Below are 24131 nucleotides of genomic sequence, written 5' to 3'. Positions count from 1 at the left end.
TCAGTTTGTTACAAACTTATAACCTCCCTTTACATAAGGAGATTTTTCAAATGTTTAATAAGTTTGTCGACAAAGAACTAGTATGCATTGGACACGATTGTATCAAGGAGTGGGTGTAGGTTGATTAAGTAAAATTTTCCATGTCCCATTCTGTATCCTGAACTTACCATTATTTAAACAAAATTCTTCTCCCTGATAAGTATGGAAAACAGGAACTCTGGAAAGTGAAGATCCCCAATGTTAGAATAAGAACAAATTTAATAAGGAGGATTCCTGCCTTTCCACTTAAGAAAAATAAAAATAAAATGGATAAGCCTAAACGTGTTAAAATGAAGAAATTGCCGTAAGTTTTGGAGTATCAAACAGTTTTATGACAATTCAAGTTGGCTGATAAGCTGATGGAAGTAGTTTATAAAAAGGTTAAGGGCACTGCAGTGAGAAAAGTGAATGACCTCCGTGGATTCTTCCTCCCATTCTGTGATCCTAGTTCTGTAGTTTCATTCGGTAGGACTGGGCTTGTGTTTCAGGTGTCAAATGGAATTTAACTGCTGGTTATGATTCTTTACATCGGTGTGTGTCTCCTTTAGATGGGACTGGTTCTTGGGTTCATAACTGAGTCACTTAAATCTATATGTGGATGGTTGAGTTAGGGACATGCTTTTATCTGACCATGCAGCTATATTTGCTCTCAGAATCCTTTTTTTTTTTTTTTTTTTTTTTTGAGACAGAGTTTCGCCCTGTCACCCAGGCTGGAGTGCAGTGGCATGATTTTAGCTCACTGCAACCTCCACCTCCCAGGTTGAAGCGATTCTCCTGCCTCAGGCTCCCAAGTAGCTGGGACTACAGGCATGCACCACAATGCCTGGCTAGTTTTTATATTTTTAGTAGAGTGGGGGTTTGGCCACGTTGGTCAGGCTGGTCTTGAACTCCTGACCTCAGGTGATCTACCTGCCTCGGCCTCCCAAAGTGCTGGGATTATAGGTGTGAGTCACCACGCCCAGCCAGAATACTTTTAATAACTCTCAAAAGGAGTCCAGGAGTACTATATTTTTAAAATCTCAGGCCTATAAACATATTTCTGCATCTGTAATATCTAATTAATTGCAGATAGTATGTATGGGTGGCAAGAACCCTGTAATTTTGAGCAACCCTATAGGTAATGGTCTCTTTCTAAAGGTGGTAACAAAACAGTTAGTTAAATTTAGTCAGCCACTCCATTGTTGCCTGGGTTGTTAGCACTTTGCATAGTCCAGGGTGAAGTTCATGAGATTATTTGATAAAACAGCCAGGATTAGGCTTGGGGCAGGGAGGCCAATATATCTGGCCTGAACACTGTCTAGGCCAGCTATAAATTCAGGGCCCTTGATGAGTTATTTTATGTTTATAACCATTAATTTCCTTATAAGTGTGAGGACAGCACTAATACTTATTCTGAAGGTTCACTGGGATCATTAGAGATTAATGCACGTGAGGCACCCAGCACAGTGCTTTTCCCATTATAGGAAGGCCATAAATGGGGCCAACCATGATACACGTGCATAGAGAAAAGGGTATTAGCACACTCAGCTCTTCTCTACTCCCTACAGACCTCCAGGAGGGTGGCAGAGAGGCAAAAACAACCTGTTGGCTTTTTTGTTATGCACAGTCTCATGGTAAAAGCTGCAGAAGGCCGCCTGAAGCATGGCTGAGACAGTGTTACTCTGAGGATTAAACAGCATGAACACCAATAAAACACCTGCAAATGCATCCACAACAGCCTCCGACAGGGATGGGTTTGGAGGTTGTGGCTGGCTTTGAGCTGATCTCAGATTGACTCAAGGCCAAATCATGCAGGCAATGGTTTTGCTGCCTAGGGGAACTCAGCTGCGTCTTATCTAGAAAGAGAAATAAGGGAATAAAATTGACCGAAAAAATAGTTGTGGGCTTTTTTCTACTTATTTTATTTAGAATGTGAAGTTCTCACATTTCCTCATTTCGTATACAGTATTTTCTTTTTTCTTTCTTTCTTTCTTTCTTTCTTTTTTTTTTTTACAATCCAAATCTTCTATTTATGCAGTTAAAAAAGTAGAGGTGCCCATCTCTTGTTGTGTAGAATAGAAAGGCATTTCATTTGGACCTGGGCACAAACAAATGAAAATCTATTCCATTTGGACCTGTGTTCTCAGGCAGAGGAACAGAAGTGTGGGGAGAACAAGGATTTCAGAAGGTGTTTTAAATTAAAAACATGTATACGTATGCATATAGGTGTATGTTTATATATATAACAGTGTATGTATGTAATTTTATGGCATGTGGCATAGGACTTTTAATGAAATTGGTTTAATTTAGGGCACTGCTGATGATGTAGGGAAGGAAAAACAGAAGCTGACAGAAAGGCCACCCCAGGACTGTTCCGAGGTGCTCTATTTATCAAATAAAACTGTTTGTTCCGTGATCCTTGAAATATTCAGCACACCTGTGATCCCGGCAGGCCGCAGGTGAGCGCGCTTTAAGCGCTTTAAGAAACGACAGCGACAGCGGCAGAGCTCACCACAGGGCGCCCCTGACTCCTGGGAGCTGGCTGGTGCCCTGGAGTCTGGGCTGACGCTTGAGTGTGAGGCCTTCGCTTTCCGTGTGACCTTCATCTTGATGTGGGCCTGACGTCTTGTAAGTGCGCAATGAAACTGTGTTGGAAGAAGGGTCTGGGGGAGGGCGAAAGTTCCGTATGGATGGTGCTAGCCCTGGTTAACAGAGCTAGGAGCAGCTTTCCAGGAGGTTCGGAGCACCGGTCTGCATGTGCAAGTGTGCACATGAGCAGGGGAAGAGGGGGAGAGAAAGGGAGGAGGGGAGAGAAAGGAGGGAAGGGAAAGGAAGGGAGAGGAAGGGAGAAGGCGGGGAGAAAGGGGGGAAAGGGAAAGGGAGGGAGAGGGATAGAGGGGGGAGAGGAAGGGAGGAGGGGGGGAGAGGGAGGGGGAGAGGAGGGGAGGAGAGAGGAGGAGAGGAAGGGAGGAGAGAGGGGGAGAGGAAGGGAGGAGAGAAGGAGAGAGGAAGGGAGGAGAGAGGGGGGAGAGGAAGGGAGGAGAGAGGGGGGAGAGGAAGGGAGGAGAGAGGTGGGAGAGGAAGGGTGGAGGGGAGAGGGAAGAAGGCGGGGAAAGGGAAAAGGAGTGGGGAGCGGGTAGAGAACAGCCCCAGGGAAGCAGGAAGCATCTCAGCTTTGAAGCATGTCAGGATCTACTTACACAGAGGTGGTTTCTGAGGCCCATAAGCCTATCAGTTCTTGGTGTAGTCAGGGAACAAAACTCACACCTGGTTTCAGCAGGGAGAATTTGGAGTGGAGGGCTGAAAGGCCAGAAGGAAGCCCCGAGGCATCAGAGAGAGAGCGCAGCTCCAGGAAAAACAGCCAGTGCCCCTCTGGCTGGGGCAACACACAAGGGAGGTGGGGATTCTGGCATCTGCAGGTTTGGAGCGGAGCCCCTTGAGGCTGGGCCTGAGACCCCTGAGGAAGCAGTGCTGCTCCTTGGGCTGGGGCCGCAGGAGCTTCGAGGAGGTGCCCCTGTTCCCTGGGACTCAGACCTCTTAGAAGTAGGTGTGATGAGGAGCAAGTCACTCCTCCCTCCTCCTGCCTCCTGGGCTCCCTCTAGTACCTTCTACCGGCAGGCAGAACCTACCTGGGAGAGGAGATGGTTGGAAGAGGAGAAATTACGGCTTGGAGAGTTTCAGCCCCAGCACCCAAAGCAGAGTATGGAAAGGTGAGCATGGGGCTGAGAGACACCAGCTTAATAACCCGTGCAGCAATGCACATTTAATATTCCGCTTTACCAGCCGTAGAATACACATTTGGTTTCAAAAATGGCAAAGAACAGACATTAACAGCTTTTCTCCAAGTCACTCAGCAAATTGGCGGTGTAATAAAAATGTGTTTTATATTTGCCCATATTTAATTCAACTAACACTGACTGCGCACCAGCTATTTGGAGGAAGGTAAGAAGCTTCCGAGCAGAGTCAGCAGCACAGTTACGTACATCTTGGGAAAATGTTTTTTTTCCTTCCTAAAAAAATATTTTAGGCAGAATAAGACAAGTGAATGTCTCACTTATCCTAATCATTCTTTAGTTTTTAAGATCTTCAGCCAAGGGAGTAGTGAGTGATGGGAAGTACAAGCAGGTCCTGAAGAATCTTAGCTGATTGAGGATTTCAAAAACAAGAATGATGTTCACTCCTTTTGTCATCTTTCAGAGTACCTTGAGTAATTTCGAGTATGCAGTGAGTGCTTACAGTTTGTGGTTAGGCAGCTTCCATGTAGTTGTTAACCTCGGCATGATTTGGACCCACAGATTCGTGCACAAGCTCTCAGCATCCCTCTCTTTGCATATGTCAATATAATCTAGCTTTAACTTGACACTGCCTTGTCCCTGGAAAGCCCAGTGTGGATTTTGTAAGGCCATACCAATTACAGCTGATAATTGCTGCCATACTCCTTTCTGAAATAAGCAAATACTCTGGCAAGCTCTCTAAACAGACATCTTCCGGAGCTCAAGGTCGCAAGCAGAATGCCCCTGGGTAAAGAGAATGAAAGTGGATGAATTCCCTTTCAAAAGAAAGTAAAAGGGAAAAGTGAATATATAATTATCTTCTTCATGTAGAGGTAACACACCTAATGCAGGCTAAAAATCTTCGCTTGGTTGCTGGTATGAGGATTGGATCAGATGACTGTTGAGATGCATGGGTGTCTTGTATCTTGGTTGGGGTTATTTGGAAAGGGCGAGCACTAATTGTGAGTATGCAAGGGTGCTACACAGCTAAGAACTACCCAGCATGAGAGATCAAGGGTTCAGGAAGCAGCCTGGCTCAGATTCCTGATCCCACCTAAACACCACTGACTCCTGTGTGTGTCCTCTGGGCTTAGTCTAAAGCCACTGACCACAGACAAGGCAATGTAAATGAAAGCTGGGGCTTTGGGGTAGGAGTGATGTGTATTTCAGTCTGGGCTTCCCTGCTACCTTCGGTCTAACTTTGGGCAATGAACATAAATAACCTCTCTGAGTCTAGCTCCCTGTGTTATACTCACCTCACAGCATTGTTATGATGATTAAATGATCTGCTTTGATGTGATTGTGACCGACACATAGTACTGTGGTAGTCCAATAAAACGTGAGCTACCCTTCTGCACTCTTTGTGTGTGGCCAGTTCTGTGCCAAGTACTCAGCGTCAGGGAGGTGTAGACAAAGTTGGTGAGTGGCGTCTCAATTTCTACCCTTGGGAGGAGGGAAGAGAGCCCTAAATTTTATGTGCACATAAGTAATTACTGAAAATTGCTGAATACAAACATACTCTTTTCTTGAACTTGGCAGTGGCCATGTATGTCTATTTGGAAGAAATGTTATATAGATATGGAGAAGCTAGAAGTCTTTGGAATTCTGAGTAGATACAAGATATGTTCATGATAGAATTGTCTGATTTTAAGCTAAAACTTTGAGGAATTTGAATGTGGCCTGATGAGCGGAAGTCAGGGCCTGTCCTGGGCAGGGCAGCAGCGTGGGCACACATGTGGGGTCAGGGACAAACGTGGTATGTGTGGCAGAACCAGTTAAGGAGGTCCAGCTTGATTGGGATGAGGACCTGATTTGAGAAATTGTGCACGAGGGCTGAGTGAGGGAGGAGGAAGTCCCTGAACTGCATGCTAGGAGCTCTGATAGCATTCAAAAGCACTGTAGTGCTTTCTTAATCAGAGGAGCAACATGATGGAAAGGGTGCTTCAGGGAGAGGAATGCGCTGAGCATCCTGGAGGAGGGATGGGAAGAGTCTTTTCACAGGGAGACAGGCAGCACCGGCATAGTTAATCTAATCAGGAAGAGCAAAGGATCATGGTCATGACCGAGCCTAGAGAGGAGGAGATGCATCCGAGAGAAACTGGCACAGAAATATTGGCAGATATGGGGACCGATTGCACGTGAAGGTAAAAGGAGATAAGGAAAGGAGAAGTCAATGAAAAGTCACAGGTTTTGAGGCCAAGGGATTTGCAGCTGCATTAGGTATTACTGAGCGTTGAGTTCCCATAATGAACTCCTTAAATGCTGTTACTATTACCACTATTAATACTATTGCTACTATAGTACTATTTACTACTACAGGTTAAGGATAATTAAAGTTTTACTCTGGATTAAGTACTGTGCAAAGTGCTTTACATGCATTAGCTTATTTAATCCTTACTCCACAGTGAGACATTCATTTATTAAATGTCATCTTGAGCACCTTCTATAAGATAAATGCTGTGTTAGGCCTTGGGGATAAAATGGGAGCAATGTTCTTGCTTTCATTGAGCTTCTAGTTTTAGTCAGAGGCTTCAGACAATAAACATGTAAATAAGAAACAAATATGGTGGTTGTGATTAGGGCTGTGAAAGAGAGTCTAACAGAGGGGCTTGCCTTAGAGAGTGGCCAAGGAAGTCATGAGAGAAGCCAGGGGAAGGGCATTTCATTATGGGGGAGCAGTAAAGGCAGTGCTTGACAGGTTGTAGGAACTGTCAAAGGTCATACCGCTGCAACGCGAGAATGAGGGAGAGAGTAGCATGGGCCATGGGTGGATGCCAGGAGGCAGGCTGATCCAGAAAGGGATGGTCTTGTTAGCTGTGGGGAGGTGTCTGGAGGATTCAATGCACAGTGGGAAAACATTGAAGAGACGTAAGTAGAGGAGTGACATGATGTGACTTAAATTTTAAAAAGACCATGGTGGAGAACAGATGGGAGGGAGGTGCAGGTGGACATGAGGAGACTGGTTGGGAGGCTAGGTACTTGCCCAGGTGACAGATGATGGTGGAAGCAGGGATAAGAGAAATGCAGGATTTGGGGTTGATTCTGGCATAGGACTAGCAGAATTTGCAGAGGGAGAGAATGTGTGGGCAGGGGAAAGGGAGGAATGATCCCCAGTTCTCTGGTTTTAGGAAATAATGGGTGGGTGTTGGGGCAGACTACGTTTAGGAGAAAAAAAACAAGAGTTTCTTACTGGACACACTACATTGGAAAGGCCTATGAGTAGATGTGGAGATGTCACATGTGCAGTAGAATTTATAACCCAAAGTGGTCTAAGCCAGAGATAGAGGTTTTGCATTCATTGGCATAGACATGGCATTCAAAACTGCAGAGGTGGCGAGTCCACCCAGGGAATGAGTGTGTGGAGAAGAGGCTAGGGCAAAGCTGACAAGCCCACCAACAAATGGGGTCAGGTGGAAGGAGAGGACCCACAAACGCGGCTGAGAAAAAAGAAGGAAAAACGGGATTGTGAAGGTCATGGCACAGATAGGACAATGAGTCAAGGAGAGACAGGTCAGCAGTGTCTGAGGTTGTGACTGGGAGGTGTGATTGGGCAGTAGAGAGGTCTTGAGAAGCAATGAAAACACAGCTTTGGGTCAGAGGTAGGGACCAAAGCCAGATACCTGGGTTAAGAAGTGAGTGGACACTGGGGAAAGAACTTGGGTAGACAACACTTGAGAAGGAGCAGTTCTCTCAATCTCATTCGAATTTGAGGAAGCCGAGATGAGCAGGGCTTGGTGACCTGTCCAAAGTTCCTCTAGAAATAATTGGCAGGGCTGGGCTTTGAACCCACCTGTGTTTGAATCTGAAACCCATGCTCCCAGCCTCTGTGCTAAACAAGCGTTTAAGTTACCATTTGAATGAATTAGTTATTTTCTAATTAGTTTCTTGTCTCCCATTCTCTCTCACTTGGTTGCTTTCACAAAATGGTCTGTAATTAACACCCCAATAAAGTAAACACAGGAAAAATCCAGGATTAAAGATGAAATAATGATAGATTAAATCAAGAGAATTCAAATATAACATTTATAAATATATTTATTGTCTCCAACTATCCTAAAGCACATGCTAAGATCTTCTGAAATGAAAAATGTTTATTTTTTTCATTAAATTTGCACCTCAGGCAATACCTCTGGAAATGCTCTGAAAAAAACCCCACAAAAACACAAAGCAAAAAACTCTGTACTCTTCTTGTATTTCCAAGTTTCCCTCTCACCCATTCTGTCATTCCCAGACAGCTGCTGCTGCCTCTTTTAGGACTTGAATAGCTCTTGCAGGGTCTGAGCCTTTTCCTCCAAATCCCAATTCCCACTTTTTCCCATTCATAACAGAGACATGGACAAGGAAATAAATCTTTCCTTTCAGACTGGTCTCTGACAAAGCAGAAGTTACATTTTAGCTAGGTGTCAAGTAACGTACCACTTGTTCTAGTTTTTCTCAGGTCTCAGATAAAGGCTAGGTCAACTTTGATACTCAATTCATATTCAATTTCAATATCCAATACCCGGGTCATTTCTACTTGGCATTTCTTACCTTGCCGACATACAAAGGGTCGGTCCCAGTGTACTCTTCCAGAACGAAAAACTGGTTCCAAACCCAGCTCCTCTTGGTCCGCTGATGTGACTGTGGCTTGTCTGACAGGAGTGCTTCTAATTCACCTTGTGGTGTTGGGGTGTCCGAGAGAACGGTGGTCGTAAGGTCCATCAGCCCCCAGAAGTACAAGGACATGCCAAGTCCAAGCCAGTTCTTTGCATTGCTCATTCTACCAGAAGTCCACATGGGATTGCCAGGTTTTCAGAAAATGAAGGAGAATGATAAGCAACTGGAACTTGAGTATTTTCCAAATTTAAAAAAATACACAGTTTTTGATTGGACACTTATGCTTCCTAAATGAGATCCCGTTTCAAGTCAATCTGCTTGAAGTTGACTTCCTGTCAAGTTAAGGAAAACACAGTGTGATGATGTCAGATTCTTTCCTGCAGGCGGGTTGCAAGTTTTCAAGAAATGTCAGTAAATATTCAACTTTCTACTCAATGAGTTAAAAAGTCATAACAGGTTATTGCTTTAGAAATGTTTGAGTAATAAATACTATTTTGATAATAAGACAACACATCTTGCTATAATCAATCCCAAACCTTTGGATATAGATTCGGTGGGAATAAAACTGATGAATAAATTTCTTCTCATTGGTAACTTAGCTGGAGGGTTATACTGTATTATTGATTGGTTTGAATTAATAGTGTGCTCTTTGAAATATTTATGATCAGACAGGCTCTTAAACTCTTAAAAGCAGCATTCATTTACAAAATTTACAGCTAATAACTAATATTTCCATTAGCCCAACTGCTTTTCTTTGCTTATTAAAAAAATAGTAAAATCCAACTACCTTGTTTTTTTTTGGTCACCCACAATGATCTTGTGCCTACTGCTGTTATTGATAATGCTAGAAATCTTGGACTTCATTTATAAGCAGCCAGGGCTCACTTCTGACTTTAATCATTTTCTGAGCTCACAGTGGATTTCAAGTTTCACACTCTACTGTTTTGGCTCCGAAGCACTGATAGGGGCTGCTAATGTGACCTTTCCAGGATTTAAATGGTCAGTTGATCATTATATCCTTCACAACAGACTTTAAAGTGCTATTAGTCACATGCCTATGGGAGCAAGCTAAGAGAATCTAGTCAACAAATCTCCTTTCTTGACCTGAAGGACTCATTTAGGGAAAAGGACTTCTACCGTGGGGACACATCTTTATCAGTCAAACTTCTTTTGTTGCTATGTGGTCACATTTAGCTGGTGACCTCACTTCTGGGCTATGGCCTCATCAATCTTTTCTTCCCTTACTTGGCTTGGTTTAATGAGATGGCATAACACTCAAGTCAACCTGTCAAGACAACCAAAATGTCTTCCTTCGGCTTAATATTTTCACTGTTAATTCGAAGAACTGCTGTCATCTGAGAACAAATGTGTGTATTTGGAGATTGCAGCTCTGTGAAACTAAATAACACTTCATTTCTTCAAGTGGTTTGAAGTGAATGCATTGATGCTAACTTAGTTACTACCTTCCACCTGTCATCAGAACTGGTTTCAGCTTCCTCTCAAATACTCATGATTGAAATGTACAAAAGAAATTTTAAACTACTTTATAATTATTTAATACAATATGCCATTTCATTTCTGTATAATAAATCATTTTAATGAGAAATGATAGAGAAAGTAGCTGAGGAGACTATAGAATTTTTGTAGCAGAATGGGAGGCTGTGCCTCTTATGAGCTCCAGCTCTGAAGGCAGATTGAGTGTTAAGAAAAAGCAAGCCAGGTGCACCTCATTGAGGGCAATGGGTTTGCTAATAAAGAACAATGGTGCTGCTAGCAGGTGGGTTACCAAATATTAGCTGTTCTCTCTCTCTTTGGACTGGTGGACATCTTCCCTTAGGGAACAGAGAAGCCCAGTTCATGTTTCTCTGATCCCTGTCTACAGGGAGGTGTTTGGGAAGAAGGAATTTAACCCAGGAAACGAATTGATGACAAAGATTAGTGAGAAATAGCTGTGCTGTTTTAGGGGCCTAGAAGGCAGACTAAAGGGCATTGCCAAAACAAACAAACAAACAAACAAAAAAAAAGCCACTGCCAGAATGCTGTGATTAGTAAACCATAAAAGCAATATTCTGTATATTGTAAGACACAATGTATCTATAATTCCTCAAAGTGCATTAGACTAAGAGACAGTTTGGTTACTGGTTCTATCTTCATTACCTCTGACTTATTTAGTTGTATGAATTTCAGTTTCCTCATCTATTAAGCAGGGCCAATAATTCTCCCACCTACCTCACTGGACCATCACAAGAGTCTGATGGGATCATGCAGGCAAAAAAGTGCCCTGTAAATGACTAAGGTGCCAACCGACATTTGAACAGTCAGATAAAGTACCTGGGTCATATGTAAAAATCATGGAGCTAAGCCAGAAATATATATTTTATGGATACCTTTGGGGCCAGAATTCTGAAAGGGCTTATAATATATATCTGTTATTTTTCAGATCTCTACATCTGTGATAAGTCCCGTCTGGTAGCAGATTCTGGCTCAGTCTAATTCTGTAATAACCAAACACTTGCGTTCCATTTGAGGAGATTTAATCAAGGGCTAGCTATTAGAAAACTCTTCAATAGTAAAGAAAATTATTTTGCGGATTGCGTTGATTAAAGCTAGAACTCACTATACATACATATATACGTACATATATATATATATGTATGTACGTATTCTATTTAGTGTATTCCCCTTAATGTCTTTGTTTCTTACCTATATTTTGCCTAAGCACACATGTCTGTTATTTTCTCTGGCTGGTTGTAGCAACTTGCTTTGAATCTAAGAGTGCCTGTGCATGCATGTGTGCTATGTGCAGATGTCTCCTCTTCTGCTTCCACTGGCTACATTTTATGTACAGAATGAGATTTGAGGAATTGTAAGTAGTGTTTTTTATATTCCCCATTTCTAACTAGGCATGTGTTCCTCCCAATTAAAACCCCCTATCCCCCTACCTGAGGCATGATCTGAAGAGCTCAAGGAGAAAAGCCTTCTTTGAAATCTGTGATGAATATTTTGTAGGCGGTCAGGTTGCCTGTTTTCATCTCTCCCTCTTTTCTACTTTGGCCTCCTACACACTAGTGCAAATTCTTATTTTCCTCCCCTCCACTGAACACGTACAAAGGTGACTTTGGGATCTTGACCGGGGGAGCCCTTGGTGATTCTGTGAAAGCTGATGGTACCTTTACACACCCCAAATCACAAAGACCGCAATGTCGTACCAACTCTTTCTGTCTTATATAACTTGATAGCAACAGTTGGTGCAAAGCACTTTATTTCTACTTCCTTAGGGATGAATGCATGAAAAAGACTCCCTGCCTAACTTTCTAGAAGGTAAAAGCTGGGTTATACAATAGTCGCATTATTCTTTTCACAATTAGAGGTGTTTTTTACAAAACAGTTCTATCAGAAATACTAATCAGTTTGCATTTATTATAAATGAGGTGGTTCTCATATTCATGTTTTTCCCTAGAGGATATGAATAGCAATAATGTGTTTGGGGTGGGCTAATTGCTGTTGTTCTTATAAAAGAAGATACTGATACATGTGTATTTGTATATATAGATCTGCTTTGGAAGACTACATATGCCACATGAAGAATACATTAGTGGAAATTGACTTCTGTGTTAAATGAGTCTTTTAAAAGTTTCCCCTTCATCCTCCCTAAAGAAAGAAAACAGCTTGGTAATGAACACAGTAGGAAGAAATTAAAGTTGTACATAAAGTGTGCTTTCAGTGAATTGTTTAGTTTGTTACGTAAATTCGTTGTGATATTTAAAATGTAGTGGGGAGGGATGGTTACTGCTTTCTCCTTGAAATGAACTGGGCTTTTATGGTCTTGCTCTGATTTCTTTCCTCATTATTCCAGTTTTCCTGAGCTTTTCATGGTTAATGGAACTACTGCTTAGCAAAGCTCAAATGACATCTCTATAGAAGCAGTCAGTCGACTCCGTGACTTTGTTTAAGAAGATGGGGTGTTTTAAGGTTCTGATGTGGCCTAATGCCTTTAAGAGAGGTAAATGCAGACAGTGGTGTCATGGTTTTAAGAGCCAAACTTCTTAAGCTATCATTTTTGCTTATAGAAAGAGTCTCAAAAATGCACTTAAAAGAGAGACTTTATGGAGATCTTAGATAGTACAATGAAACATGACAGTGTACCATAAGGTGCATCAACATTAAATCAGAATGCAACTTAATGTCATAATGCTATTCCACCTCCCAATCAAGTTTCTCTCTTGAGAAATAGCAACAAACCCATTTTACTTAGGAGTTAAAATCCTTTTGTATAGAGTACAAAACCCCAGAGAATGACACAGGTGGTCACCAGTATAAATTGGAGTAAAAAGTTGTTCGTGTATTTCAGTATGTATGGTTCACAAACAATAATATTCCCATTGTAGAATCCCATAAAGAAAATAGTTCGAGTGCTCCTCTAAATAAACTTTCAACATTTCTGGATTTGTTTGTGTATGTTTCTGCTACTGACCAAAGTCCATCACTAGGGATCTGTCTTGGACAGGGTGGATAGTATGGTTTTATATGCTGAAAGGGGACACAGTTCTCTGACCAGAAGTTGTTTTCATTTACTAAGTTCTTATTTCTTCTGTACTCTATACAGAAGGATTTTAACTCCTAAGTAAAATGGGTTTGTTTATTTATTTTATTTTTTTTTTGAGATGGAGTCTCGCTCTGTCGCCCAGGCTGGACTGCAGTGGCGCAGTCTCAGCTCACTACAAGCTCCGCCTCCCGGGTTCACGCCATTCTCCTGCCTCAGCCTCCCGAGTAGCTGGGACTGCAGGTGCCCGCCACCACACCCGGCTAATTTTTTGTATTTTTAGTAGAGACCGGGTTTCACCATGTTAGCCAGGATGGTCTCGATCTCCTGACCTCGTGATCCGCCCACCTCGGCCTCCCAAAGTGCTGGGATTACAGGCGTGAGCCACCGCACCTGGCCAAAATGGGTTTTTTTCTATTTCTCGAGAGAGAACCTTGACTGGGAGGTGGAATAGCACTATGACATTGAGCTGTATTCTGATTTAATGTTGATGCACCTTATGATATACTGTCATGTTTTCTTGTAATATCTAAGATCTCCATAAAGGCTCTCTTCTAAGTGCATTTTTGAGGCTCTTTCTATAAGTAAAAGTGATAGCTTAATTTTCATTTACTACAGAGGTTCTATCCATCCCAGTTTCTTCTGGGACAGTCATTAGGTGAGTGGAAGCTCCATGGCTCTTTTGTGGTCATCAACTCACCAGCCTACCCAAAGCCACCCATCTGTGGAGGCAACCAACTCCCAACAGGGTCAGAAGAGGTAGTCCAGGCACTAGATTTGCTGAATTTTGAGTTGTACTCTCACTTCCACTCCCCTACCTAACTCTCACCTGCTTCACCACACCCCTCCTCCCAACTTAACATTTCTGAAATGAGATATATCTTAAAAATCAATGTTTACATATTTAATGTTCTCATAGTAGGCTTTCCTCACTCCTCAGAGAAGCTGTTAATACATTGATGGTGTATGGAGAATCGAAGAATTACAGTATTACCTTTTTAAGAAATTGAACAGAAGAAGAAAAGGAATGCTTAATTTCCTTGGAGATTTCTTGGAAAAGGTGGTCACCACTCTTGCTTATTCTAATTCTCATTATTTATCTTTCTATGAATTCCTTCTCCATCAAGTTCCTCAAAAATGGTGGCACTCCTGAGGCTAAAAGTTCAGCTGTTATCATGTTCACTCAGGCCATTGTCAGTTCTCTGAAATCTTCTCTTTCCCACCACTCCTACTTATTTTCCCTCTCCTTCCCACCACCCAACCAGTTTATGCGAGAGTGCTGTTTTGTAAATGAGACTGGGAGCTCATAAATGGAACTATGGGGTGGATGTGGGTAAGGGGAAGGTAAACAGTAGCTTAATTGCAGTTTAGGAGCAATATCTAGTTTTGTATAATGGTAGGGATGTGTGTGTGTGTGTGTGTGTGTGTGTGTGTGTGTGTGTGTGTGTGTGTGGAGTAGAGCAAAAAAAATTGGTAGAAAGCTTGAATTATATAATTAAGAGCCCTGGCTTTGAAAAACTTGGTCAGTCCCATAATAAAACTTGCCATATGTTACCTGTATACATGCTGACCCTCTAGCTATGAATTCCCTAGCTTGGGTCATAAATAAAGGCATTTTCACTTTAGAAATCCTTGCTCTAGAGTTCATGCCCAATTCCTCTGTGCTTTTCATTCTTGCTATAATCAATTTTTGCAGTCCAGGGTGCCCTGTCTTTCTTTCCGTATCCGCCAAGGCTGGCGAATAGATTGTTACTGATCCTTTCACCCATACTTAGTATCTAGTAAATGTTTTAATCCTCAAGGAGTCAGGAAGTTTTTGACCTACTTTACCCTTCCTCCAGTTTTCACTTTTAATCAAGCTAATGAAACTACAGCCCAGTCTATGGGCAATTTCTCTGACTACAGTTAGACAAGAATGATCAATTTTGATTTCTGAGACTTGTTCCACATGCCTACTAATTTCCTGTTTTATGTGACATTTATAATTGCATTAAATCTGTGCTCATTCTTTATAAAAAGCATGTATTTAAAATGAAATTATGTGGCTAACATTCTTCTTTGTTAAGAAGTTGCAAGTAATTGCTACTCAGTGTTTTCTCTTATGACTTTGCCTTTGTACAGCATTTTAGGAAGTTAGGAAAATCCTGCAGTTTTCCTTGACCCATAAAAAATAATTCACAGGAAGAAGATTTTTTGGCAAAGGTAAGTTTGCTACCTAAACGTAAGACTTAAATCTTGAGTATCAATATGTTTAATCAAAAAATGGATTGGAAAGCCAGCCAAACTTCAGTGAGTTTCAGCCCTACCACTTACTATCTATGCAATCTTGAAGAAGTGACTTCATCTCTTTATGTCTCTGTTTGTCATTTACAAACTGGAGGTAATTATAGACTCTATCTCACAGGGTGATTGTAATTAAGTGAGAAAAAAGTATATATGAAACTCTTAGACATTTGAGAGATGGTTAAAGTCTTGTGCCTGTAAAATAGTAGATGCTCAATAAATATTGGTTTCCTTTTCCTCCTTCAAGGAGTTTACAGTTTAGGAGGGAGGTATTACCATTAATACTAGTGATAGAAATAATAATAGGAATAGGCATAGGTATACATACCATTATTAACAATAATAGTGTAGCAGCAGCAGCAACAGAAGCAATAACAGCAGAGGTAATGACATGGAGTGTTTACGCCAGGCTGTGTCAAGTAATTTACATTTACTTTGTCATTTAATCCTTACAAGGATTCCACAAAAATGTTTTGTTTCCTCAGTTTACAAAGAAACAAACAGTGAGGTGGTGGGGTCAACTCCTATCACCTTTCACCGGAGCCTCTCAATGCCTCAAAGCCTCTCACTTTCAAGGCCTCTCAATGCCTTGAAATTGGCCATGGTGTATTTATACCATGGGTATTGGCAAATGCTACATAGTTAGGAAGAGGATGAACTGGAATTCTTCGTCAGGAGTGACTGTACAAGAGGTGCTTAGCACGTGACTGACTGGCACAGATCTATTGGTGATGAGGGTTACAGGACCCCTTAAAAAACAAAATGCTAGGCCAGATCAGAAAAGGGAGAAATGATTTCCATCAGGAGGAGAAAGGCTTAAGGGAACATATGAACTAGACCCTGAAAAATAAAAGGGCATTCCCAGTTAAAGAAAACGCAGATACCATGGTGCAGATGCAGGATGCAAAGGGCCTGTCTGGGAGATTAATAATAATTTAATTTGCTTAGAGAATAGGGTCACTTTAGGAGACTGAGGAGGGATGAGGGAGGCAGGAAATCCAGATAAAAACCACTAGCTAGGAGCTGGGGATATTGGATTGAAGTATTTGGAATATACTCCATAGTTCATAGTGAGCAACTGAAGGTTTTTGAACATGCCAAAGTAATGTTGGGCCAGTTGTGGTGGTTCACACTTGTAATCTTAGCACTTTGGAAGGCTGGGTTGGGGGAGGATTGCTTATGGTTAGGAGTTGAAGACCAGCCTGGGCAACAGGGCAAGACCCCGTCTCTATTTAAAATATATATATGTAAAAAAAAAGTAAAGTTAATATGATACTAATATATGTGGGCAATGGCATCTGAGGCCATATATGTGTAAAGAAAAAGGAGAACAAAGTAATGTTGATAAATCTCTGTTTAGTAGTGTTTCTGGAGAGAAGGTGGGAAAATCAGTTAAGAGTCCAGGGAAAATTGGTAAGGAGAACTTCAACCAAGGATCCAGGGGAGGGAAGGATTGGCCAGACGTCTGAAACATCAAGGAGGCAGAGTCTCTAACACTTGCAGACTAACTGGATATGAAGAAAAGTTGGAACTGGAAAAGATGAAACAATCATGACTTAAACTTCTGTGCCTGGGTTAGGGCAGGAAGTTGGGAGGAGGTGCTAGTTAGAGCCAACGTGATAAATTTGGTTTTATACGCAGGAATAAAAAATTCATCATTCTACTCTGATTATTTAAAGAGGCAGGAACTTTCTCTTTTTCGTCCACACTTCAAAGGGGCTTTGGGCATAACGAATGTGAGCTGCTTTTTCTTAGAGCACACCTCACCCCTCCCTGAGATACAGCTCTGAATCCAGCTTCCCTGTCCTGGTGCTGTACCTGGACGTGGCTTCTCTGTGGCTAACCTGGTAAAATTTATCTTTAACTTCAACTTAGCTAGGGTTTTTTTTTTTTTATTTGTCTATTTCTCAGTTCTTATTTACTTTACACAATCCCCTCTCACGCTAGAATAATGTGGTCTAGCTAGGAGCTGGGGATATTGGTTTGAAACATTTGAAATATGCTTGATAGTTCATAGTGAGCAACTGAAGGTTTTTGAGCATGCCAAAGTAATGTTGGGCCAGGCATGGTGGGTTCATACTTGTAATCCTAGCACTTTGGAAGGCTGGGTATGGGGAGAATTGCTTGAGGCTAGGAATTCAAGACCAGCCTGGGCAACAGGGCAAAACCTCGTCTCTATTTAAAAAATATATATGTAAAAAAATTAATATGATACTAATGTGTATGGGCAATGGCATCTGATGCCATATAAATGTAAAGAAAACAAAAGAAAGGGGCAATCTGTTCAAGAAAAAGAAAAATTTGCCTTTTAATGCCCTAACAAAACAAACCAAAAATCTCACTGATGTTTATTATGTATCTTGTTGAAGGAAAGTAAAACCTTGTCTTCTAATACATGCTTTCAGGAAAAGAAATCTCTTTTAGAACATAGTGTATCATTTGGAATCAGGACATCGCGGTTTAAGACCAATTCCAGCTCTGCCACTCGATGTGTGACATCCAATATATTGCTTAATCCTTTTGAGCCTCAAATATGAGAATAATAATCTTCTTTAAAGGAGTATTACAGATTATCACGACCTAATACTATAGATTAAGTTGAAAATATATATGTATTTTTAACTTCCTACATGTTTCCCTTTTTATCTATCTATTCAAAGCAGTTTGTGCATTTTCTTTCCTGGCACTTCATTATTCTGTATTGTAATTATTTACTTGTCTGTTTTTTCTCCATATTGTAAGCTCTTTGAAGACATGGGTAATATCTTTTATCCATGTATCTATGGGCAGTACTTGGCACATACTAGGTGCTCAGTAAATATTAACTGTCAATGTATTTTTAAACGGTAGAAAAGTATTTAACAGTTTAATGTTATTCTTTCTACCTTCAAGCTTTTACTTTGATTTAATCAGTGTATTCCCATACTGATTTTAATGTCTGTTCACACCTGCAACAATTAGTGAACATATTAAGAGGCAGAGATAAAGACAATACAAAGTCAACAAAAGTCAAGAAAGCAGTGAGTTTTCACAAATGCTTTTTTTGTTCTTGAGCAGACAACATAATCCTTATGTGTCAGAAGTCTACTAGAACTGTGAGATCACTTGTAATGTAAAGTTAAAGCATCATTTGCAGAAATACTTGGAAATCTTATGAGGAAATTGGGATTTGAGAAATTACAGTGACCTATGTGAAAGGAAAATAAATCTTCGGATCCAAGATCTCTAAGTTAAAGGGAAGTCAATCTGAGAATTGCGTAGGGCAACCCTGCCTCCCATCCTATTCGAAGTCATCCCTCTGGTCACTGAGATAAATGCATATATGAGTCCCTCCTTTGAAAAAGCTAATGAGAAACTCAGTGCAACCATTTGTCTCTCACCTACCTGTGACCTGGAAGTCCTGTCCCTGCTTCGAGTTGTCCCACCTTTCTGGACAGAACCAATGTACATCTTACATAAATTGATTGATGTCTCATGTCTCCCTAAAATGTATAAAATCAAGCTGTGCCCTGACCATCCCGGGCACATGTCGTCAGGACCTCCTGAGGCTGTGTCACAGGCATGAGTCCTCAACCTTGGCAAAATAAACTTTCTAAATTAACTAAGACCTGTCTCAGATATTCGAGGTTCACACCTAATAATATGTAATATTGTTAAGTTAAAGGGATATGACCGTCAGAGTTACCTCTGATGGCTTAGATTTTAACTTTCTTAATTTGGGGGAGGGAAGGTGATATGAGAAGATCTTTTTTCCTCTAATTCTTTTCAAGGTCAGCCTCCACCTATTCTTTGGTAATTCCCTTTTCCTTGAACCTGTAATCTCTTCATTAGTCCAATCCTCACTATAAGACTATATTCACATTTCCTTTTAGAATGTTTTTATTCTACCCTTTCATTTCAGTGACAGCTTTTTCAAGATAGACTTTCACCATGGAAGTCTATGATGAAAATTGCTCCACTGTCTTCTAGCACCTAGTATTACTAATGAGAAATTCAGTGTATTTTAGCAAAATGGTAAACTTACAAAGATATAGGACCCAAGAGAAAGGGGATCCAACAAAGGAGACTGGCAGGGAGAAGGCCCAGAATAGCAGTTGCTTACCAGGCTGTGAGTACAGCAGCCAGGTGAGGGGAGGGAGGGCTCCAGGAAAGAAATGAAGTGTTGGAGTGACTGAGAAGCTTCCAGGATTTGGATAAATTATTGATAGGCACAGGACAGATTTTTTGAGCATTAGGGGGGAAAAATAGTGACACACACATAGAGAAGACAAGAAAAGAAAACCCTAGGCAATTGTTAACCAAGAAAAACACAAAGTTCTATAAGAAGGGCATTAAATCTTCAGGTATAACTTTGCTCAGTAGAAAACAACATTTATCCATAATAAATAAACATTGGCTATTCTTTTAGTTAGTACTGAAATATAACTGTTGAAGGGCGAAGGAGGGGAGAGTGGATGGGAATATGTGTAAAAAGAACTAAGAGCTCAATTACCCCACTGGAACACCAACTGCTAATATCTAGAATAGGTATTTCAATAAATATATATAAGCATATGACTTAGAAATGTATTGGCAAATACTCGAATAAATAACTTTGGGGTTTACCTTTTGAGATTGGGTTTTGAGGTTGGAGCAGGGGATGGTTTTTCCTTTTATTATAAGTCTTTCAGAGCCATCTTGGGTTTTTTTTTGGCCCATGCAAATATTCTACTTGCAATAAAATAAAAACTGACTCAAAAATTTAAAAGAACATATTCAAATAAGCAAAATAAATATAAAGGAATTAAATAGAAAAGAAAGGTTTGAAATAGATGTAGTGAAGATATTTTATATACTTCAGAACTATTTTTTCCACACTTTAAGTGTTTCTGAGAGCAGAATGGATATATCAGTGTACACACTTACATGTTAGTGTGTTTATTCCTCCAAAACTTGAGACTATTATATTTATATAATATAAATTTATATTTATGGTGTCTTTCAATTGCAGTTTCACAGGATCAAGGAAGTGGAAATACTTTAGTACAGAGATTTTCAGAACTATGCTCTTCTAGACATTAGAAATTCTAAAGCTTTTTCAAGATCTATTATGAAACTTCTAGGCTCAGCTGTCTTCTTACTTCCCCCGTTCTTTATTGCCACTTTCCCGTTTACTAAGCTCCACCTTCATCTGTGTTACATATTTGGGAAAAAAGACTTCTTCACTAAGTTGGTTAACTGGGGTTAAAGAAGAGGCTACATCTCTATTCTTCACCATCCACTGTTTACTCCTCATGCACTGAATAGTTAAATGGGAACAATTACAACATGTGGGTTAGTAGAATACACGGAAAAACAAAAACAAGCTACTGAGAAAACATGCAGGTGAATACTATTTTTATAATACTGCGTTCCCAGTATTATAAGAAAGGTAGGGAAAGATTCCCAGAGAACCTTTATCCCTACCTTTATCAAAGGTAGAAAAGAAAAATGTTGAGATATTGAATTAAACAGTTATTAGAAATTGTTATATTTTATATACTAAAAACAGGCAACATGCAAGAGAAAACGAGGGCTTATTGTCCTTAACATATTTAGAAATCTTTATGCTCAACATTTAAAATATTATTCCAAAAAAGAGTGATCAAATGACAATAAGAAAAATTCAGAAAGGCAGAAATAAAATGATCAATAAATATATGAAAAACATTTTACTTTTTTTTTTTTTTTGAGACAGAGTCTCGCTCTGTTGCCCAGGCTGGAGTGCAGTGGCACAATCTCAGCTCACTGTAACCTCCACCTTTTGGGTTCAAGTGATTCTTCTTTCTCAGCCTCCCAAGTAGCTGGGACTACAGGCATGTGCCACCACGTCTGACTAACTTTTTAATTTTTAGTAGACACAGTTTCACCATGTTGGCCAGGCTGGTCTTGAACTCCTGACCTCAAGTGATCTGCTCATCTCGACCTCCCAAAGTGCTGGGATTACAGGAGTGAGCCACCGTGCCTGGCCTCAAAAAACATTTTACTTTCACAATTAGCTTAAGAATACAAATAATAAAATATCATTTCAACCTATTAAATTAGCAAACATTAAAAAAGAACTAAGCTAACCAATGTTTCTGAGCATATGTTGTTCATATACCATATGGATGGGAGTGTGGGTTGATAAAAGCTTTCTGGAAGACAATTTTGCATGATGTGCCACGTCTTTAAAATTACTGATGGATCTTAAGGAGCTAATTATAATATATATTTTAATTTTTATTAGCATTATTAGAGCAAAAAATCAGTGTAAGCCATATTTGCAACAATAGATGATTCTAAACATTATGACATACTCATGCATCGGAATACTATGCAACTGTCTTGGAAGGAAGATAGAGAATTGGTTTTAAACCTGTTCTCAAGAACGCTGTTTATTATCAATTTCTAACATTGTTGCCACACACCTTTTAATTGCAGAAAACAGAATTTAGCCACTTTGCAGTTTTATAAGTACAAAATCTATTCTATAGAAATACTTCAGAATAAACTAGTACAGTAAGTCAAGTTATGTTGGAATTAGCTGACCCTAGACTGGTAGTGTGACAGTATCCATTATCTACAGATCCCAGTTACCTTTATGGAAGATAATTGTAGAAGGTGTTGTTTATCAGCCTGAGATGCAACATTGTCTTCTCCTTAGTACCACTGGGTCTTGGATCTCTCCAACAGACCATGCCCAGCCACATGTATATGATAAGAGTTGTTATTTGACCTAGAGACTGCAGCAGCAACCTGCCTCTAATTATATCATAGTAATAAAATCATGGGGCAAGGATCGGCTCAATGTCCTCATTTTCCGAGGCTGTTTTTTTTTAATTCCCCGATGGTTCTTCAGTAGTGTTCTCTAGTTTAGTAACTGGAACCACCTTTCAAGCAAGTGTGCGAGGTGTTCTCAATGAGGACTCTCAGTACATTCCGAGTGCTTGTGCCCCCACAAAGTTCAGTCCAGTTAGCCTCTGATAAGATCATTGAATATATACTTACATTTTAATTTTTCTTGGGAAGTTCTATGTTAACAAAGGACTTATCAAAAAAGAGAGATTCCCAAATGGCCCAAGACAAATTGATCTGCAACTAGGTATACATTAATGCAAAGTGAAGCCATCGTGAATCCCAGAAGTGACTGGCACCATCAGGAATGAGAACTGTTTAAGTCAGAATCTTCTCAGCCATTTCAAGTGCATCAGAAACCAGCCTAGTTTTGGTATCAAGGTAACCAACTAGACCAAGGCCTGAATTAAGGGCCACAGTTGTATTCTCCTGTAATGAGGGAAGGGAGATTTCATCCAGTGGTCCTTTATCATCGACCTTCTACTGGATCATTTTGGCACTAAATCATATTTTCTAGCTAGCTCTTGTTATAAAATAAATCACCTCAAAATGTAGTTAATACAGCAGTCATTTTATTAATTTTCACAGTTTTCTATGGATCAGGAATTTGGATATATCTTGGCTACGTGATTCTGGTGTGGGGTTTTTCATGTGTTTGCAATCAGATAGTGGCTAGAACTTGGACAGTGGGGGTCTGGTGCCACTGGGGGCTGCCGGGCATCTTTGTCTCTCCAGATGGTCTCATTTAGCACCTTTACATGTGATTTCCACATGCACTAATTTGGGCTTTGTCACAGAGTGATGACTTTGGGGATGGCAGTTGCAATCAAGGCTCTGGTGTGAATGCTGCTGTTCTTGAAGCAGAAGCCATGTCTTCTGCGGCATTCTCTTGGTTATGAGTCACTGAAAGTCCACACGCATCTTAACGGGGATGTGGCGAGACTCCAGAAGAGCCTGCGGGGTGGGAGATAATATTGTGGCTCTCTTTAGAAAATGCACTCTGCCACACCTGGAATTCCAGACAGGCATCCAGGACCACTGAGTTCAATGTTGAAGAACTTTAGCAATCTCAGAATACAAGGAGCCAATCCCCCTCAAGGATGAAAAGGCAAGTTCTTGCATTTAGAAGGGGGTAAGAAAAAGTTATTTTCTATTTAAAAAACAGAACAAGTTTAGTCAGACTGGTCTAATTTTCATTTATGATGTGACAGGTGTCTCTAAAGAAGAGAATTCTATGCAGGCTATATGTACAAAACTTCGGATTATGTCTGTTCAGGCATAACAAAAGAGAAAACATCCTGATGGTTCAGTACTTAGTGGAGAATTATTATCAATTGATCATTTTCCACTTTAGTGCAATAACACATGCTATTATACAGTAGGTTCTATATCAATGATATCTATTCATACTTTTAAGGATGTCTAAAGTCATGGTCACTAAGCATTGAGATTTTTCCAAATATGCAACAAGTAAAAGCGATGGTAAAATCTGTGGCTTGGCTTTAGACACATGGATCACTGGAGAAGTACTAGGAGATAAACAGAGTGATGATGAATAAAATAAAACCTAGTAACTTCTGGAAGTGAGATACTCATTGAACAATGTAAGATTAGTGAGTCACAGTGGATATCATTTATTTCCAGTTTGACTCCTGATTTTATTTAGAGCTTCCTTTGCTCTGCTTATTCTAGCCCAAAGATTGGCACTTCTAGCCATCCAAGTCAAAATCCAGAAGTCAGGGTAAGATTTCTTCCATCCCCACCTTCACACCCCTATATCTGGCTACTTAGACCTGTCAAATTCTACCATTTCTACCTTGTAAGTCTTTCTCAGATCTGTCTTTCCTCTCCATTCCTTCTGCCATTGCCATAGTTCTGGTGTTGTAACTTCCATCCCTTCAGCAGCCCTCTGGCTGGTATTCCTGTTCTCATCTATCCTGTTATCTGCCAGAGTGATCTTATCGGACCACTCACCTGCTAAACGTCTCTAATGGATCCTCATTTTTTAACTGATAAAATCTATACTTGACAGGACCTTAAGGACCTACACAATCTGGCTCCCC

General features: G+C 40.5%; 1 protein-coding gene across 4 annotated transcripts in view; it reads right to left on the bottom strand.

The window, feature by feature from the left end:
* The window catches only part of CDH20 (cadherin 20), a 222350-nt gene that overhangs the window by 56659 nt on the left and 141560 nt on the right, over nucleotides 1–24131 (bottom strand). For all 4 annotated transcript variants that reach the window (XR_001753187.2, XR_001753186.2, NM_031891.4 and 1 more), the window contains exon 2: nucleotides 8322–8719. Coding sequence is in view for 2 of the 4 variants with exons in the window: in NM_031891.4 (NP_114097.2) it covers nucleotides 8322–8567 (246 nt within the window). In the remaining 2 variants the exon portion in view is untranslated. The remainder of the gene's footprint in view (nucleotides 1–8321; nucleotides 8720–24131) is intronic.

This window comes from Homo sapiens, chromosome 18 (genome assembly GCF_000001405.40).
Source record: "Homo sapiens chromosome 18, GRCh38.p14 Primary Assembly".
Lineage (NCBI taxonomy): Eukaryota > Metazoa > Chordata > Mammalia > Primates > Hominidae > Homo > Homo sapiens.
This window is presented reverse-complemented; position numbering and strand designations above follow the sequence as displayed.